General features: G+C 36.3%; 1 long non-coding RNA gene across 1 annotated transcript in view, besides 1 other annotated feature; it reads right to left on the bottom strand.

Annotated features, from left to right (window-relative positions):
• The window catches only part of LOC124904475 (uncharacterized), a 765263-nt gene that overhangs the window by 139144 nt on the left and 606854 nt on the right, over positions 1 to 19265 (bottom strand). The gene's annotated exons all lie outside the window — the stretch shown is intronic.
• Positions 3458 to 3658: a silencer, noted in NCBI's record as "peak609 fragment used in MPRA reporter construct". NCBI's record gives its function as "represses an SCP1 promoter by STARR-seq MPRAs in K562 erythroleukemia cells {active_cell/tissue: K562}" and the evidence as "EXISTENCE:reporter gene assay evidence [ECO:0000049][PMID:32103011]".

Genomic DNA, 19265 nt, shown 5'->3' with positions numbered 1-19265 from the left:
TTTGAAATAATATAATCCCTACAGATCTGTATAAGACTTTCTTTGGTTTCTGTAGAGTTCTGTGAAGGAATGATAATCACGCTTCTGTTCCATTCAATTCTCAGAGGGATTCTGCGCATTTAGGAAACTTAAATCTTTATCAACCTGACAGGGAGACTGAGAGACAGATACACTGTTTAAAATATAGGCAGGTCCAATTCTAATATCAATTAATTTTTGTACCATATTTTGTCACTCACTTCAAAATGTATGAAAAACAGACACATTTTTATAATCACAGAACTGTATGTAATTGTCCACAGTGCCCACATTTACTACATCTTAATCTTCTACTCAGTTTTCATTCACTCATTCTTTCACCCAACAAAGATTTGTTAACTTCCACTATGTGATGTGCCAAGCTCTGTGCTGAAACTCAAGAACACAGGTAGTTCATTCCAGCAAATGCAAGATACATTTTATGAGAAGTCTTAACAGGTGATTTAAGAGCACAAACGAAGGAGGTAAAAATCAAAGTCAGTGGCTGTAGAGGAGGTGGTGGCATTTTGAATAAGTATCGAAAGATGAAGTACACACAAAAAAATGAGGAAAGGGAGATACAGTAGAGTATGACATGGATGGCCAGTTGCCACTTTTCCCTTTTCTCCCCTCTGTGGAAGCACCATAATTTCTTCCTGCCTCACACTCTTCTCACCATCTCTTAGATGTGAGAGAGATCTTAGAATGATGTTTCCCCTCCATACCTAGTTCACTTTTCCTAGTTACTAATGGCTTAGAATACACTTTATTTCTACAGGGAAAGTATGCCTTACTTCATAGACTTTATCAAGGACTCCTATTATAGGTACTCTATAATTCTTCTTTATGTCCCTTATTACATTTCTAATTATTTGTCTTATTTATCTATAATCTTCCTCAATAAATTGCAAACTCCTTGAAGAAACAGACTGATTGTTTTGTTCCATGCTGTAACCCCATCTCCCGGCTAAATTCACTGGATCATACTAGGTTCTCATTTAAATGTTGCTTAATGAGAAAAAAGAATGTTTGATTACCTAATAATTGAATACATGAATTACTGACAGACACAAAGAATGTGTAAGGAGAGTAACATCTGAGGACTTCAAAGAAGATGTAGTTCAGAGTATGAAGATCTGAGTAATATCTTGAAAGCTAAGTTTATTAATTAAATTTAATAATTCAAACTTTAATTAGATATGTGTCATTATACTTGGGTTTTAGAAGGATCCCTTTAGCAGAAGTGTGGAGAAGAAAGGTAGGAAAAACTAGACAAAATAGTTCAATTATATGGATCTGAAATAAAAAAGTGCTGGGGCAATGGAAAGTAGGGGATGAGTGATTTTGAAAAATAGACTCTAAGAGAAAGAAGAATATGGAAGTGAAATTGTTTTGGGCCTGTGCGGTGAGGTAGAGATTGGTTACAGTCACAAAAGAAGAAATATAAGACAAGGAGTATACTGGGCAAGAAAGATGGTAAATTCAGCATTTCACAGTCTGAGTACAAAGGACTAAGGACCAACTTGCAAGAATGTCAATGCTAAGGCTAGAGTTTTTAAAGTATGTGGATACAGTTTTTAAAATATGTGGGTGGGTAAAGCCAGACTTCACCATTCTGCCTTCTATGCATGTAACAAAAAGACACATGTACCCAATAAATGTATATAAGTAAAAATATTAGAATATAAATAATAAAATAAAATATTTTACAAAAAAAATAAACAAATAAACCCAGGGATTAGGATGACATAATACAGGGAAAAGGTAAAGAGAGAGAAGAGTGCCAAAAACCAAGCCTTTGACTACATCATTTTTTTTTTTTTTTGTAGTTACAATTAGCCTGATATATATACATTAAGTTCTGGGATACATGTGCAGAACATGCAGGTTTGTTACATAGGTATACACATGCCATGGTGGTTTGCTGCGCCCATCAACCCTTCATCTACATTAGGTATTTCTCCTAATTCTAACCCTCCCCTAGCCCCCCCACCCCTCGACAGGCCCTGGTGTGTGATATTCCCCTCCCGGTGTCTGTGTGCTCTTCTTCTTCAACTCCCACTTATGACTGAGAACATGTGATGTTTGGTTTTCTGTTCCTGTGTTAGTTTGCTGAGAATGATGGTTTCCAGCTTCATCCATGCCCCTGCAAAGGACATGAACTCATCCTTTTTAAGACTGCATAGTATTGCATGGTGTATATGTGCCACATTTTCTTCATCCAGTCTATCATTGATGGGCATTTGGGTTGGCTCCAAAATCTTTGCTATTGTGAACAGTGCTGCAATAAACATACGTGTCCATGTGTCTTTATAGTAGAATGATTTATATTCTTTTGGGTAAGCTAGAGGGGATGTGGAGAAATAGGAACACTTTTACACTGTTAGTGGGAGTGCAAATTAGTTCAGCCATTGTGGAAGACAGTATGGTGATTCCTCAAGGAACTAGAACCAGAAATACCATTTGACCCAGCAATCTCATTACTGGGTACATCATATTTTAAGAATTGAGTTCAGTAATTGTAATTCATTAAAGTAAGAGGAGGAGCAATATAGAGATTAAAAGGATATTGAGAATATATATATATAAAAAAAGAAGGAAACAATTGTAATAAGAAAAGTCAAAACTGTTAAATACAAACAATAATAAAAATAGTAATGTCAAAGCACCAGCATCCTTCAAACAATACTAGAGTCTTTGTCACTTTGCCTGAGTTTCTTCTTTTACTGTTTATTTATTTACTCGTTCATGTAATATATATTTATTAGTAGCCTACTACGCACAAAGTATTCTTGGTGGGCAATGAGAATAAATCATTTAAAAGGGAATAGTTCCATCCTTACGGAACTTACATTCTGGTCAGTCATTGGCCTCACTGTGGAAAACATGCCAATAGAACAAATGTTAATTTCTCACAGCATTTAATTTGTCTCCTTTTCTTACCCATGATATGTGATGATAGTAGATAGTTCTTAAAAGTAAATGTCCACACTATTATTCAAAATGATCTCTCAGGCTGGGACTGTGGTCTGAAATGATAGCTCAGGCCGTTCTTCTTCTGCCACTTTTCAAACCAGTCACTCTCAAGATGATTATGCAGACAAAAACCGTTTGCTTAATTCAGTGATGAAAATGCTGAAGTAGCTAGGACCAAGTGCTGACACTTGATGGTCTCTTGCCATCAACCAATACCCTATGAGCATTATTGTTCAACCCCTTGATTTTAGCTAATTATGCAATTATTCAACACATTTGATAGCCATGTCCACTATGATGTCTGATCTGTCATACTGCTATATGAGTGAAAAGAGCTTTAAAAACTCTTCCAAAATATGCTAGACAAACAGATACAAAAAATGAACACCTAGAAGATGCAATGCTGTAGAGAAAACTATTTTTTATGTTTCTGAATTGTTAGAGATTTCTAAGGAAGTTTTACTGAAACTTGGGACCTGTGCCAAAAAAAAAAAAAAAAAAAACAAAAAAAAAACATAAGCCTGGAACTTATGACTGGATAGTGAGCACTACAGAGAGATTTACCCCCTGGGGGACTATGTTTACATTTCAAGGAAGATAAGTCCTGGGACCGTGAAGACAATTGTTGGACTGTAAAGCTAAAGACACTAGTCATTTTCTCCTACTGAAGAAGTTTATTCACTTTTCTGAGTGAAGAACCAAAATCCTTCTCATTATGTCTCCATGTATCTCTCTCTCAGAAAAAATATGGGTGAGAAGGAGGCACAGCTGCCTCTCATTTCTGCCCACTTTTATTCTGTTGGCTCCTCACCTTGAACAGACCCCACTGTGTCGGGGATCACATCTGGTTCTCAACATACTAATGTAGGGCAGGCAAGCTCCAAAGTGGGGCTTAGCCCATAAGGGTTCCTGGCTTTACCCAGGAAAGAATTCAAGGGCAAGCTGGAAGTAGAAGAAAACAGCTTTGTTGAAGAGACAGTGTTACAGCTCTGGCAGGGTTACAGCTCTGTGACTGCTCCAGCAGAGCAGGGCTACCCCATAGGCAGAGAGTTTCAGCTCAGGGCAGTTTTGCAGTCATATTTATACCTGCTTTTAATTACATGCAGATTAATGGGTGGTTTATGCAGAAATTTCTAGGGAAGGGGTAGTAACTTTTGTGTTGTCAGGTGATTGTCATGAAAAGGGGTCATAACTCCTGGGTGTTGCCGTGGCAATGGTAAGCTGTTGTGGCACACTGGAGGGTATTTCTTATAGAAAGTTGCTTCTGCCCTCACCCTGTTTTAGTTAGTCCTCAATTTGTTTCAGTGTCTGAGCCCCACCTCCAGAGTCGAGTCCCTCCTCCTATGTCAGTATCACCACTCCAGAATAAGAATTTGGGTAAAGGGGAGTAAGTTGGTGCAGTTATAATGTGCTCTAAGTAAATAGTAACTTGCTCTGCTCTAGAAACCTCATGTTGACATTCGGGATATTATTATTAAATATAGACATTAAAAACTTAACAGGACAAAGTAACGTAACTGTTTTTGGAAGGTGATGTTAAAACACATTAAATTTAGTGGTCTTTCAAATATCACACATTCAGGTAGAAATCATCAACCCTTTAAAAGGATATAGATCAGTTTTCCAAAAGGCTCAAGTATAGACAATTGTAAAAAAAAAAAAAAAAAAAAAAAAAAAAAAAAAAAGACTAGAAATGAATTGCAGATTAGAAACTATCATTTTGAAAATATAATAAATTATATCTCCTTATACTACTTTTAACTATGCTCCAAATCTTCCACCTGCTGCTTTATTTGAATGAAATTTCTTACTGAGTATTTGGCTTAAACTTTCAAGGAGGGAGAAAGAATGTCTATAGAGAGAATCTGTGACTGCCCAGATTCACACAGAAAATTAAGATTTAATCTAAGAATAAGTAGACTTTATTCAGGTCTCCATAATCCTGTTTCTTCCTCCTAATCTAAGAAAAGTTAGATAACAAATGAAACAATTTTATTTTCTTATTTCATGTAATTTGCTATGTGTTTATAAACTAAAAAGGTCAAATTGTGATTTATGAAAACAGGACTAAATTGACAATTTTAAAATTAGATAGCTATGGTAGTTTTTATGCCATTCTCTTGAAAAATCTACAATTTCTCACTTTGTGAAAGAAGGTAAGATGTATCTTTCATCGAGATGCAGACAGCTACATAAGACAAAATTCTTGCCTTCTGTCAGCGGCTTCCAAATTCTTAAGAGAGAGAAATCTAAGCATCTTCACTCTATACAACTCCTCTGGTTCTATAGAACTTAACCAGTACAGAAGCATAAAATGTCTCCAAAATATAACCTGCAAATAAAGCTGCAGACTCCATTCAAGAGGACATTTATTTTTATCACGAACTTGGGCATTAAAAGAAGCAATTTTTGCAGTTTCCACAACATAGTGATTTTCCCCTAAAACTAGCCTTGGGAAAAGTAAAAGTTTTATCAGAATTAAAGTAGATGTAGGAACTATTTTTAAGGCCAGATTCAGAGTACAACTATCCTAAAGATCAATCAAGAATATTTTCATGAATCCTTAAGTAAAATGCACTCTTCTCTCTCTCTCTCTCTCTCTCTCTCTCTCTTTCTCTCTCATGTGTGCATGTGTGTGTAGAAGATAAAAAATTTTTAAAAAAGCAGTCCTGTGGCTGACTGCCAGAGAAACTCTGCTCATAGTTTAATTTTACAGGGCCAGGTCTGGATTTCTTTGAGACACTGATCTAAACTTGCCAAACCCACTTCTAAGATTTATATATGACCAACCGCAGTCTGTCCATCCATGACGAACAATGATGGGTACTCCTTACTAGGCTGTATATGCTGATGATTCTCATAATCAACACTTTGCCTTAAGAAAAATAAACTGCTTAGTTTTTTTTTGTGATAATTCCAATAGGTGGTATAAACTGTGGTTGAGCCTGTCTGGTAAAACAGATAACAGGAGAGAATGTGCTGCAGCCAATTTGGTGCTTTGCATCATATATTTGTCCATGTTACCCACGGAACAAGAAAACAAGTCAATAAAAATAAATCTAGTTCAGGTACAGTGTCATATTACTAATTTATAATAATATAACCACTGAGAGAAATTGATGTTTGTGACTTCGTATTATAGCATCTCTGCCAAGAGCTCATTAAACATGAAATACAGAATTGTATAAATTAGAAGACATGGAAAAGGAGAAACATCAGAAGACAGCAAATGCAAATTTTCAGTCAATATGATCCCTGCAAGGCAAGTCGACATTCTGTTGGATGTGATTTGCTAGATTAAGTTCAAGGATGCTCTGTCTTTACCTCCAGGGCCATGACTGACACTGATGTATTTTCAGGGCAGAAGGAAGGTCAGATAACAGAAAGGCTGTGTCTCTGGGTAGTCTTTAGGGCCACGGTTGCCGGCTTGTTCTGGACATTTGCATTGACAGCTCTGCCTGGACTAGCTACTGAAACTCCATGGATTAATTTTCATGGAGTTCCAGAATCAGCCTACAGCAATCAAGTGAGATTTTTTAAAAAGAGATGTTAGCTTGATTTTCATTATTTTGTGAATAGACTTCAAATTTTAATAAACTACACTGAACTTAGCAGAACAATAATCATTTTTTACTACCTGTGTCAGGATAAACCAAGAGAATATGAATTTCATTTAGTCTTCAAGAATAGTTCATATAGGCCTGCTCCAGGCCAAATAACTTGAAAGTGATGCAACCTAATGTAGTGCCAGCCTTACATCCTTTCTACAAATATATCTTATAAAAATAGTTGGCACACATGGACAAAGAAATATAGACAAGAATGAGCAGTACAACATTTATTTCAAAATAAATAAATATAAGTATGTGCATATATGTGTCTGTGTGTGTGTGAGAGAGAGAGAGACAGAGAGAGACAGAGGATATTATATCTGTGACATATGGTTAAGAAAAAATCAAAATGCCCTTTACTGTATGACACTATATGTGAAATATCAAGGACACATACACACAGACACACAGACACACACACACACACACACACAGATGGGGGGAGCCTGGAAGAATAGACATGAAATTGGTAACAACTTCTAGAGAGATGATACATGCTTTAATTCATACAATATTTTAATTAATGTATGGGGAGGTGTATAATATTTAACTGTACTGCTCAAGTTCTAGTTGTCAAATTGGATGTTTATGTGAGTATATGATACGTATTTTATTAAATATATTATGTTTTATGTATTAACTAATTTAAAAAATATTTAAAATCCAAGTTCATCTGGGACTCAGAGTGGCATTATACTAGGCAAAGAAAAACATACTATGTTTTAATACAGTCAGTTTTAAATTGAGGACTACAAATATCTAGCAATTTAACTGACTGAGTTACAAACTGTAGAAGCCTCTGACTTCTCAAACTGTTGTGCTGTAGTAGGAAAACTTGAAGATCTCTTTTTACTCTAGAATCAGCAATGCCAAGTCCTTAACCTAAAATCTTCACAAAATAGGAAATATAATGTGGACAATAAGTAGAAATAATGAAATAATTCTGGATTAATCTTGCCCCTCTTTCACATGGTAACACACTAACAAAAATTTAAAATGTGCCCATGAAATACATTTTTTTCACTGTACTGACAACTAAGAATGTAGGCAGTGCAGTCAGTGAAGTCAAATATCAACCTAAAATCCTCAGGTTCATATTTACACATTAGTACCCTCAAAGGATTTAATCTTTCTTTTTCTTCTTTCTTTTTTTCTTTCTAGTAACCAGAAGAAACAAAAGCATGGGCTTTGGAAAGAAAAGTTATAAGAGGGGATTTGCCTAGTATATGATTATCTCCCACTCAACAAATCAAATATGTATTTTGACGAAACACTGCTAAAAGAGTCTTTTTTGAAGAGAGAATAGAAGTAAATTAATTTCCATTCCTAATGCCTGATTTAACAAGACTATTAAATAATTTCATTCATTGGATATATTTGCTGCCTTACAAAGCTGAAATGATGTTGAGCTATTCATTTTGTTAAAATTTTATACGCCTACATAATGACCTGCATCATGCAATGTACTTTCATGGTTGCTTTCCTTTTAGTGCTAATCTCCATTAGCTATAAAGGATGGCACAGAACCCATTTTGCCAAGCATTGTTGACATAGCTATAGACCAATGCAAAATTCAAAGAATACAGTCATTGCTGTGTTGCATATTATTAACTCTTACACTTAACACCACCCACATTTTGTTTCCCATTGCAGCTCTTTCTCTGTGATGGACAGACTGCTAAAGCATCGGTTATCCCCAGACCAATTCCTGAACTATACTCCTTTTAGGAGAAATTTTGAAGGAAGTCCTGAAGACTCGGTCGAGGCAAGAAAAGTTTAATTGACATGTTAAATGGTCATTTCCAAGAGACTTGTATGTATAGCCAACAGAGAGTAAACAGAGTCTATAATACTGACAAGTATATAGGATGTCACATGAAGGAACTGTCTCTTCATTTCAGACACTATAAAATAGTCGATGAAAGACACATAGTTTTCTTGTCAGGTATTATAATGTTAAATTCTTTTTTAACACTATTAAGAGATAAGTTGGTTTTCTTTTCCCCTCTTCTAGCTATTATAACCTGCCATTAGAAGCTATACAAACTAAGACATAAAATCCAAACGCTGTGTGTCTTGCCTAAGAAAAGTGTTCTATTTCCCTAATGCCACTAGTAAAACAAATAAAGGCATGGGCCATTTTGAAGAAAATGAAAACAAGAAACAATTACAGGATGTAATCTATTGTTAGGAATACATTTCAAAAGAAAAAAAGACAAAGGTAGAACAAACCAGAAATAGCTCAATCCATTTATGTTTTGTCCTCTGGGACAAAAATGGACCCATTTGCAACCATGCAAAGCAGTAGTGTATTTGCTGATGGGAAAATGCATGCAGATGCCAAATGGGTGCATTAGCCCCCCTTGGCATAGTTAATGTAGACATGCCCTTAGGGATCCTTATAAGACCCATCTGTTCAGTCAAGCATTTGCTTAATTGTGTCAAATGCCTGGCAAATGCAGTGTCAGTTTATAGATAATAGATATGTAAATGTTGTTTGTGTTCTTGTACATATGCCCAGGGGCTTTAAAATAAACACATCACATTTTTAAAAATAATTTCCTGTTGGGGATAAAATGATAGTCTTGCTGGCAGCAGCAGTACTCCTCATAATAGCTTAAACTATTATAATATTTAATATTTTATAACACATAATATCTTCATTTAGGGATTTGGGCCACCTATTCATTTTCTTATAATCTTGATTACCATGCTTGTTATTTACCTATGGCTTTATGAAGAGAAATAGCATATTCATGTCCTCTCATTATACACATGTCTCCACACATGTACTAAGTAATATGATTCAGTGAGGAGAGCATAGCCTCTAGAGTTAGCTCATCCTGAACCCCCATCCCAGGGTACTCTAAGGGGTATGGGACCTCTGGAAATTTACTTGACCGTTTTGGGCGACAGTTCTCTCTTGTGAAACTGGAAGACAAGTTTGTTATCATAGACTTGGGGAGAATTTGAAATATGGAAGCAGTAAACGCATAATAAACCTTCAATAAATACCCATTCCCTTTCCCTCTTCACACACTCCGTCACCCTGCAAGACCTCAGGTGACACGTTCCCAGAAATTAGACTTCCTCTTCCTTAAGCCATCGGTGACACCACTAACTGACAAATGTTGAGAATTAAGCTCTTAATATCCCCTTTCCCTTCTATGATGCAAAACTATCATCAATGACACATTTGACAACTCCGAGGGAAATGGATGCCAAAATGTTTTAGTAGATGTTAGATTGACAGTTCAGAAACAGAGTAGTCCTCTCCAGATTTTATGAAAGAAAATCCTTACGGCTTCTTTTCCGCCTTTAAAATATCCTTTAAGTATCTCTTTTTCTCATACTTTAGACATAGAAAGAAAATCTTAAGCCCATAAAGAGCATAAAACACTTAAGGGAGACTTGACAGTCACTCCAGGTGTTGTGAAATAATGAATCAATTTTGAGACTGATAGCTCATCTGCTAGAAATAATTTTTTTGCCACTTTTTGTTTCCTTTCCACTGACCACATTATTTTTACCCTCCTTAGATGTGGAACACAAGCATTGTTTGGGAAGAGTACATTTTCACATACACCAATGTGTCATTTGAGAAAAAGAAAAGAAACTCCAATTTTGCCCCTTTTAGGGTTCAATAGTATTAGATTATAATATGTTAGGTTGAAATGGCACAACCTATGTTCAGCAGTTGAACTAGATACTCAGGGCCCCTAGGCAGGTACTCACCATATGGCAAGAGAAACCTAGATATGGCCAGTGCTAGTTAGAGTGGGGCTGGTTCAGGAAAGAGTCTCTTGCAGATGCTGGGCATCTCTCTTGCTTTAAGCTACTTTGTTACTCCAGATCTGCTTCATAAACAACAGTTGTGTTTGTGAGGGCAAACAATTTTTATACGTACATTCTAATTAGCATGGCTTGGTGGAAGGCAACAATTAGTAAGTTTAAGAAGGAAGTTTTTCTCTTCACTTTTTTTTTTTTTTACCCTTGCGCCCCATGAGGAACCACTATTAAACCAGGAATGTCATCACTGCAGCTGTGGTCAGGGTTGACGTAAAACAGGGTGACTGTCTTTCTTCAACAGAAACCATCAGTTTCAGCACCTTGGCAGCACTAACATGGAGATTGGCAGCACTGAGTGGGGAGGGTTTCCAAGATGGCAGCCTGCCAGTCACGTGTGACTCCAAGCCTACACGCAGCCTGCACCATGCGGTAGCCCCTCAGGGAGCAAGATGACCTTGATTCCGGGCAGAGTTAGAGGAGACTTGCCTAAATCTAACACCCAGCAGTCAGGCAGGGCCAGCGGCTTGGTGTTAGATGGAGATGATGCTGCTATCTAAAGGTGGAAAATTTGAGTTTACTGTTTGAATTAGAAAATGCCTCTTCCAGATTTGGAAGTAGCATGGGTAGCATACTCACTTATACCAGGTCCCTGGCTTCTGATAGTGGCTGTGAATCTCATTCTCTCAAAAGTGATTCATGTTACAATACTGAAGAAAAGTGACCAGCACTGACATTGTAAGCCCTTTGGAGAGTGGGATTTTCCCAAGAAGACTTACTCTAAAAATATCTGTTTGTAGTTCTAAAATTGAGTTTAGGGGTCACATTAATTTTATTATTCTAAAAGACTATTGAATGAGGATTAAATCCCACTTCCAGTTACACATAATTATGAAGAGTAGCTTGCATTAGTTACCTAGTATTTCATAACAAACCACACTAAAAGTCGTGATGGAAATCTAGTAGCTCTTATATTAGTGCCACTTGGGATTAGCCCTGTTACCTACTTGGAGTTCTATCCAATGTTATTTCGGGGCATGTGAGGGCATTTTGAAAACACTCCTGTGATTTTTAGAATGCTTTTGCTCTAGATAAGAGTGTTTACTTGACACCATTTCACATTTTTCAAAGTCTTAACAAAAGGTATTATAGATATACCTTTATTTCAATTGTAGCACTAGGTCTCACTTTAATCAAGTTATGCTGACTGAGGAGACTAAGGAGATGATTTATTTTTCCAAACAAAAAAAAATTGGTCCTCATTATTTCCTCAAAGCTCTGTTTGAAAACAGTACAATTCTATTTTTAGATTATCTCTTTCTTCCCATATCTGACCAGATGACACTAAAAGAAGCCAATTGGCATTGTCAACGCTCTCCCCGAAAGCTTCCTTAGACAGATCCAACAGTTCTTACCAGCTTCTATCTTCCAAGTTGCCACAGGCAATATTTTGCCAATTTTTCTGCCAACATTTGCCAAATTTTCTGCTGGAGAAAAGATTTCCTTTTCTCGAGCTTCTGATGGCTTTTCTCAGGGCTTTATTAGTCTCCAGTAGAAGCTTTTTTGACTCCCTTGTAGATTCTTCCTATCGTCATTTTCCAAAGGTAATGTCATATATTTTAAGCTTTTCAAAATTATTACTATTGCAATGCTCTACTTATGTGTATTCATTTCTATGTGCTGCATTTTAAAAAATCCCCAAACTTAGTGGCTTAAAACAACAATAATGCATTATTTCTCAAGATTTGAGAATGTGTTTCCTCTGTTGTTCTTGCCTGGAGACACTCATATGGCTGCAGTCATTTGAAGGCCTTGACTGGGACTGGAGGTGACAGGTCTCTGGCCTCAGCTAAAATAATTGGAATGACTGTGATAGTTGGACCTCATGTTCCACATGGACTTTCATCACAAGCATTATCCACTAAAGATGCTAGCTTCTGCCTCTTTCCATCAAATACTATGACTTTTCAGTAAAGCATCTTGTGTTAGGCCTGTAACCACTATTTGTCAAAGGAGTCATTAGTCAGAAAAAAGGGCAGCATGACACAGAAGAGAGCAAGGACAAGCGTGACTGGGCAGGTACCTCTGCATTTGTCCCTTACTACATCTGACCACAAACTTCAGGGAACAGTAGGCTCTGCTCCACTTTTGCTTTCCAAGTGACGTGAATGTTTTCATCCAGCCAACTCAAACCTGGAACCACTCTGGGAAGAGAACTCTAGGAAACATAGATCCCAGCTGAACCAGATTAAAACAATTCAAACCACCACATTTCTCTCCTTCAAATACACTTAGATTTTCTGAGTCTCACTTCCTTCAACTAAAAGAATTGGAACATTAATAATGTGATAATCAGGGTCATAGCAGAAAATATATGAAACACTCACAGGTAGATGATTTAATAGAAGTACTAATTATCAAACCTGGACAGGTTTGGGGAATCAGAAAGGGCTGTGAAGAATCCAGAAAATAACAACAGTGGTACGGTGTTTTCACTTCTGGGTCGAAAGGGGCAAAAACAGGTAATGGTATTAGAGAAGACTAACGATAGCTTAAGATAATGAAAAAAGGGCCACCCAGAAGGAGTTTTTAACATAGAATGCAGCAGGTCTCCTAGAACTGCAGCCAGGCAAAGAATAAGCAAAAACAAAAAATCCTGCTATCCAATCTTCTGTCCCCCATTTTCTCTATTCAGTGGATCTGTGGCATTCCTAGAACCTTGGTCTTATGGGACCATATATGGAATTAGAGGTGAAGGAGTTAAAGCCTTAGTACCAAATGTATTGGGAGGTCTAATTAGAGACACCTGCATAAAACCAACATGATCTGAAGGTTCTGTCAGATAATGATTGAAAACCATAAGACAATTCTGTATGTCTTCTGTGAAGGGAGAGCACAGGAATACCCTCTGTTTTTTCAGCCTGGACTTGAAGAGCAAAAATCAGAAATAAAAGTCTCCCTGAGAAATCCTAAGAAGAAATTTATATTTCAGGGATTGTGACTAGAATTCATCTTACTCACTGTAAAATGAATCAGCTGTAAAATTTTGAGGCAAATATTTTGTAAATTGGTCTTATATTAAGACCAATTTTTACATTAATTCTTTACATTAAGACTTCTGGAAGCCTATCAGAAGTAAATCCATACCCTTCCTGGATAAATTCACCTTAAACTCAGGACTCAAAATACTCTCAAAAACTAAGGTCCAAGAAGCATGAATCCACAATCTCACATTAATTTCAAAAGTAGTAGAGAAGAGGCTGCCATGAGCAAGATTTTCACATGGACAAGAGCAAGAAGTGGTCTATGGAAACAAAACTACAGACCGAAGATATTGAAATTACCAGAAATGTGCTTGAAAATAAGTATAATACACTTATTAGATTTTAAAATAACACAATAAGCTGAAGTGTTACAAAGTAAAAGCTTCTATGTAAATTAATCAGACTGATACAAAAATTATATAAGGAAAAAATTAAAATTAAAAATACAAATTAAAATAATTGTTTAATCCTAAGGTTAGGGCATAACTTAGGAGACAGTTGGTGAGCTGGAAGACTGATGCAGTAAAAAAACTTAGGGGACTATGTGAAAAGACAAGACTCTTCAAGGGTAGGTTGGAAAGGCCTAATATAGGCTAATTACATTTTCAGAGTAAATAGCAGAAGAGTATGGGGAAGAGGCCCAAATGAAATACATAATGGCTGAAAATTTTCAAAAAATGATTTAAAATGCATTCCTAGATTCAGAAAGCTCTAAAAATTTCACACCTGTAGACACAGTAGTGAAATGGTCAAAAATCAAAGGAAGAACTTAAATGCAGCCATAAAGAAAAGATTACTCCTAAGAAAAAGAATAACAAGTAGACAAACAACTAACTTTTGGAAATTGAAAAATAATGAAATATTATCTTCAATGAACTAAGAGAATAGAATATACTATCAACCTAGGAGTCTACACTGAGAAAAGTTGTCTTTCAAAAATAAGAGCTAAATAAGCATATTTTTAGAAGAGTCTTCAAGAAATTGCTGCCAACAGATCCACACCAATGGAACTCCTTATAAAGGATGTATTTAGTAAAGAAGGAAAATTACCCCAGAAGCAAAGTCTGTAATAAAAGAAAAAATGATCAGGAAAGTAAATGATAAATATGAATATTTAAAATATTGAATGAATAACAGTAAAAATAATGTCTAATTTGGGGGACAAAGGAAAGTTAAAGGAGAAATACTACAAAATATTATATGATGAGTGGAATTGGTGAATAAAATTATTCATGAGGGGGATAAAATATTGATTAAATTTATACAGTGTTAAGTAAAATAGACACATTTAAATCACTCAGGTAACATTTAAAATACTAGAAACCAAGTATACCAACCAAGTATACCAACTAGTCATAGTAGTAAAAAAAAAAAAAAAAGACATAAAAGAGAAACCTAATTAACCCAAAAGAAGGAGAGAGGAAAAAGTATGAGAAGGAAAGAATAATAAAGGATGGAAAGGGGAGGGGAGGAGAAGGCTGGGAGAGAGAGGTCAGATAGATAGTAGCAAATAGCCTAAAAGAAATAGGCCTAAATATGTCAGTAATCACAAAGAGAATAAATAGGTGAAATTCTTTAACTAAAAAATTGAGTAGCAAAACAGGAGCAACATCTAAAATATAAGGTAATTATACTGCTAGATCAAGCTGAGAAAGAATTGCTAATTATATAGTAATTTTTAACAGCATATGCATTCAGTAAACAAAATGAAACAGATTATTCTAATAATTAAGACAATATTAATTTTAAAAATTTAAAGTAAATCTTTAAACTCTGATAATGGGTATATAGATCAGTGGGGCTATGGAGGACTTACTTTTTTTCTTCAAATTTGTTTGTATTTGCCAAACTCTTTCATAGATATGTTTATAATTAGAAAACAACAAAATAAAGTCATTTCACTTTGGAAATAACTCAGAATAGTTGTTCAGAGAATCTTAGTTTCCTTTCCCCTCCTTATAGGAGTTTAAATTGTTGATTAGGATATGGTATTCTGGATGTCCAGAATAACTTTTTTTAATATTTGAAGAGAATATGATAGGAAAGAAGTAAAATGGTGTTAAGTACTAAGCATTCACCATTGTTTTGGCAAAATATTTCAAAATAACCAAGTGTGGTGTAAACATTTTGATAAAAGCTAAAAGACTAGTAAGTGAAAGGAATAAAAAGCAAAAAGAAACATAAAAACATGTATAATTTATTGATCCATTACTATGTGCCTGAAGTTTCGTTATATTAGTTCCATTTGACAATACTCTGAAGTCTATACCATCATTATTCCCATATTGTAGAAGAGGAAACTTCTGACACAAAGATATATAGTCAGTTTCCTGTAATCTAGTTGTTGATTAAGCCAGGATGTGTAATCTGCGGAAAAAATCTCCACCTGCCATGGGGTCCATCATAACTGTAAGATACCATCTTCCTTTTGCAGTGATGAGTATAATATTATTAGACTATAAGGGATTATAGATTCTTTTAATAAACTATTATGACAGTGACTTATATAACATATTATGACCATAAACTGTTGATATGGTTTCACTGTGTCCCCACCCAAATCTCATCTTGAATTCTCACATGTCGTGGGAAGGATCCAGTGGGAGGTAATTGAATCATGGGAACAGGTCTTTCCTGTGCTGTTCTCCTGATAATGAATAAGTCTCATGAGATCTGATGGTTTTAAAAAGGAGAGTCTCCATGCACAAGCTCTCTCTTTGCCTGCTGCCATCCACATAAGATGTGACTTGCTCCTCCTTTCCTTCTGCCATGATTGTGAGGCCTCCCCAGTCATGTGGAACTGTAAGTCCAATAAACCTCTTTATTTTGTAAATTGCCCAGTCTCGGGTATGTCTTTATCTACAGCATGAAAATGGACTAATGCACCTGTATAACACTGACATATACCTTGGAAAGCATTGTTAAGCTTCCTTTGGATTTTTTTTCAAACTGCAAGCTGCTTCTCGCCTTCTCATCTCAAGGTGCTATCTTCTCTCATTCTAATCCTGGGTCTGTAAAATGTCTTCCACTTACCTTTGACTTCTTTCATTTCTTATTGATAAACTGCAGTAGCTAATTAAATCCTAAGAGGTTTTGGGGGTTATTTGGTAGAAATATGAGAAGTAGTATTTTGACAAAGCATATTAAAATATCTACCACACACGAGTCCACGAATCCTAATTAGTGAGGCTCAATCTAAAATTATATTTGCAATTTTTCTAACTAAAGTTATACTTGTATATCTAGACCCATGCTTTCCACTCCAGGGAAATCATGAAATCATGATTTAAATTCCACTTCCATTTTCTCACTTGTTTACTGAGAATAATAGCACCTGAATATTACTTCCCAAGCAACGTGTGAAAAACTGATAAGACAGATCCAAAAAATAAAAATAAAAAGAGTGCAGAGCCAAAAAAAAAAAGAAAAGAGAGAGATATTTTACATTAAAATGAACAAGTTATTGAGAGTGACTGAAATATGAATAATTTAATCTACAAAATCTTTCTATCCACTCAAATAATTTGGATGTAAAGACAGAAGTCACACAGTTACTTTCTTTCAATTTTTTATCCTTTCCTTAGTAACTATAGGGGTTATTTTCTGTTGCCCAAAGAAACACAAGATATGATTTTCATCAGATTTTCTGGGTCAGTATGTATTAGAGGAAAATCCAAGAACCAGGAACAAGATAAGGTGTGTGGTTTCTCATTATGCAACAAGGTTCAGAAAGATCATAGAGGAATTTAGTAGGGCCTGTCAGATATCACATTCATGGAGAGGAACTCTGGCCCTTGAACATGGAAATGTTTGTTTACATTTTATGACTGGGGAAATAGCAACTTCAATCCTAGTGAGAACATGGGCTGGATCCAACAACAGCATGACTTGGCAAGTCACTGAACTTCTCCCTTGTTTCACTATATTATTACTTATCTTCTTTGAGAGCATTAAGCCCTTCTTCCGTAAGTCAGTTTCGCTAAAAGAAGAGCCTGAGACAAGGATTCTTGAGCAAGTGATTTATGGAGTGATTGCTCTCAACTGAATCCAGTACAGGAGCAGGTAATAGGATTGAACTGAGGAAGAAACTAGGCAAAGAAATGGGCTCAGCTGAAGTCTAGCCTGATCGAACAGGGCTTTCTGGAGTATAACTGACACTAGAGAGCTGTCTCAACTTGATGAAAGAGGGGTGACTATTTGTACCCAGTATCTATTAAAAACTGGCTATCAGCTGTCTCTGAGGAAAGGCTTTACTCCTCTGACATGTCTGGGTGAGTAATTTCCTTTAGTCAAGAACAATTATCAGGAACAGAATATAACTATGAGCTGTTAATAGCCAACATCCAAGCAGTGGAAGGCTGGAGGCACTGATCTGGTAAAAGTGATTTGAGTGAGGCAGCAATAGTGTCTTTTATACTTTCCCAATGCCCAATAATAGGGTCCCAGGAGACAGCTCCTTATAGGCCACCCCATCACACCAAGTGTGTTGGTATCCTAATCTGATATGTATGGTACACACTTTTGGGCTTTCCTCATCTCCATCCTTCAGATGGCTCATATTTTTCCTAGCATTCTATCTACCTTATGCACTAAATGGTTAGTTGATTTAAGTAGGATTGGGTACAATATCCTTTTCATCACATTTCTTTCCTAAAATAATAACAATTATAATAATAGTTTTATAAGGAAACCCTAGGTGGTAGATCCACTGATTAACTTGGTTTTATTGAGGTTATTTCCTTAATTAGAGAGTCAGGGATGATGGAGTTCACATGGTTTATGGGGTTTAGTGCCCCTTCTTCATGGTTTCCATTTAACTGAACTGTGTAGCACAACAGAAGCATCAGGCCATCTCAGCCATACCACACCACCACATGTAAACGTTTCCCACTTGTAGACTGATTTCTGGTCCCTTGATTTGTTACCAGCCTTCCATGCTGGACACCAATAAAAATGGCTTGGCCAGTCAGGCACGGTGGCTCACACCTGTAATCCCAGCACTTTGGGAGGCTGAGGCAGGCGGATCATGAGGTCAGGAGTTCGAGACCAGTCTGGCCAACATAGTGAAGCCTTGTCTCTACTAAAAATACAAAAAATTAGCTGGGTGTGGTGGTGTGTGCCACTAATCACTACTATTCGAGAGGCTGAGGCAGGAGAATCACATGAACCCAGGAGGCCGAGGTTGCTGTGAGCCAAGATTGCGCCACTGCACTCCAGGCCAGGTGACAGTGTGAGATTCAGTCTCAAAAAAAAAAAAAAAAAAAAAAAAAAAAGCCTTGGCCATAGTAGCTATTTCAATAACAGAAAGACAATGGCCATATAGAACACATTTTGTTCGCTGAACAGCATTTATTGGAAAAAATGAACAGAAACTGAAAAAGTAAAAGGTGTGTCTTCACACCATCACCCACCTCAATATGGCCCAGTAAACTAGTATTTAGTAGGACTGGGCATAAATTCTAGGAAAGGAACCTGGCCATTGGTAGTGGAGATTTTTTAGTTATATGATTGGAGAAGAGCCTGTTTCTTCTTCTATCTTTATTGGTAGGCTGGGGTTCAAGCCAGGAGACTGCAGCTATCCAACAAAACAGAAACTTGTTATCTGACCCAATTCTACCATTTTAGTAATCAAAGTTCGGAGCACTAGCTGGAGTATAGTCTGTAGGTTGCAGCTTTTGTGATAAATGGAAAGGTGACCTGATTTCTTACCTCATTTTACTATCATTTAGAGTATTTTGGTAAAGCCAATTTTGATAGCATGTTAGAGGAGGCCTAAAGTAACAGGAAATCAGTCCTGAACAAGTTAAGTCTTACTTTCATTTTTATACAG

This window comes from Homo sapiens, chromosome 1, assembly GCF_000001405.40.
Source record: "Homo sapiens chromosome 1, GRCh38.p14 Primary Assembly".
Lineage (NCBI taxonomy): Eukaryota > Metazoa > Chordata > Mammalia > Primates > Hominidae > Homo > Homo sapiens.
The sequence above is the reverse complement of the archived record's forward strand: the minus strand, read 5'-3'. Positions and strand labels throughout refer to the sequence as shown.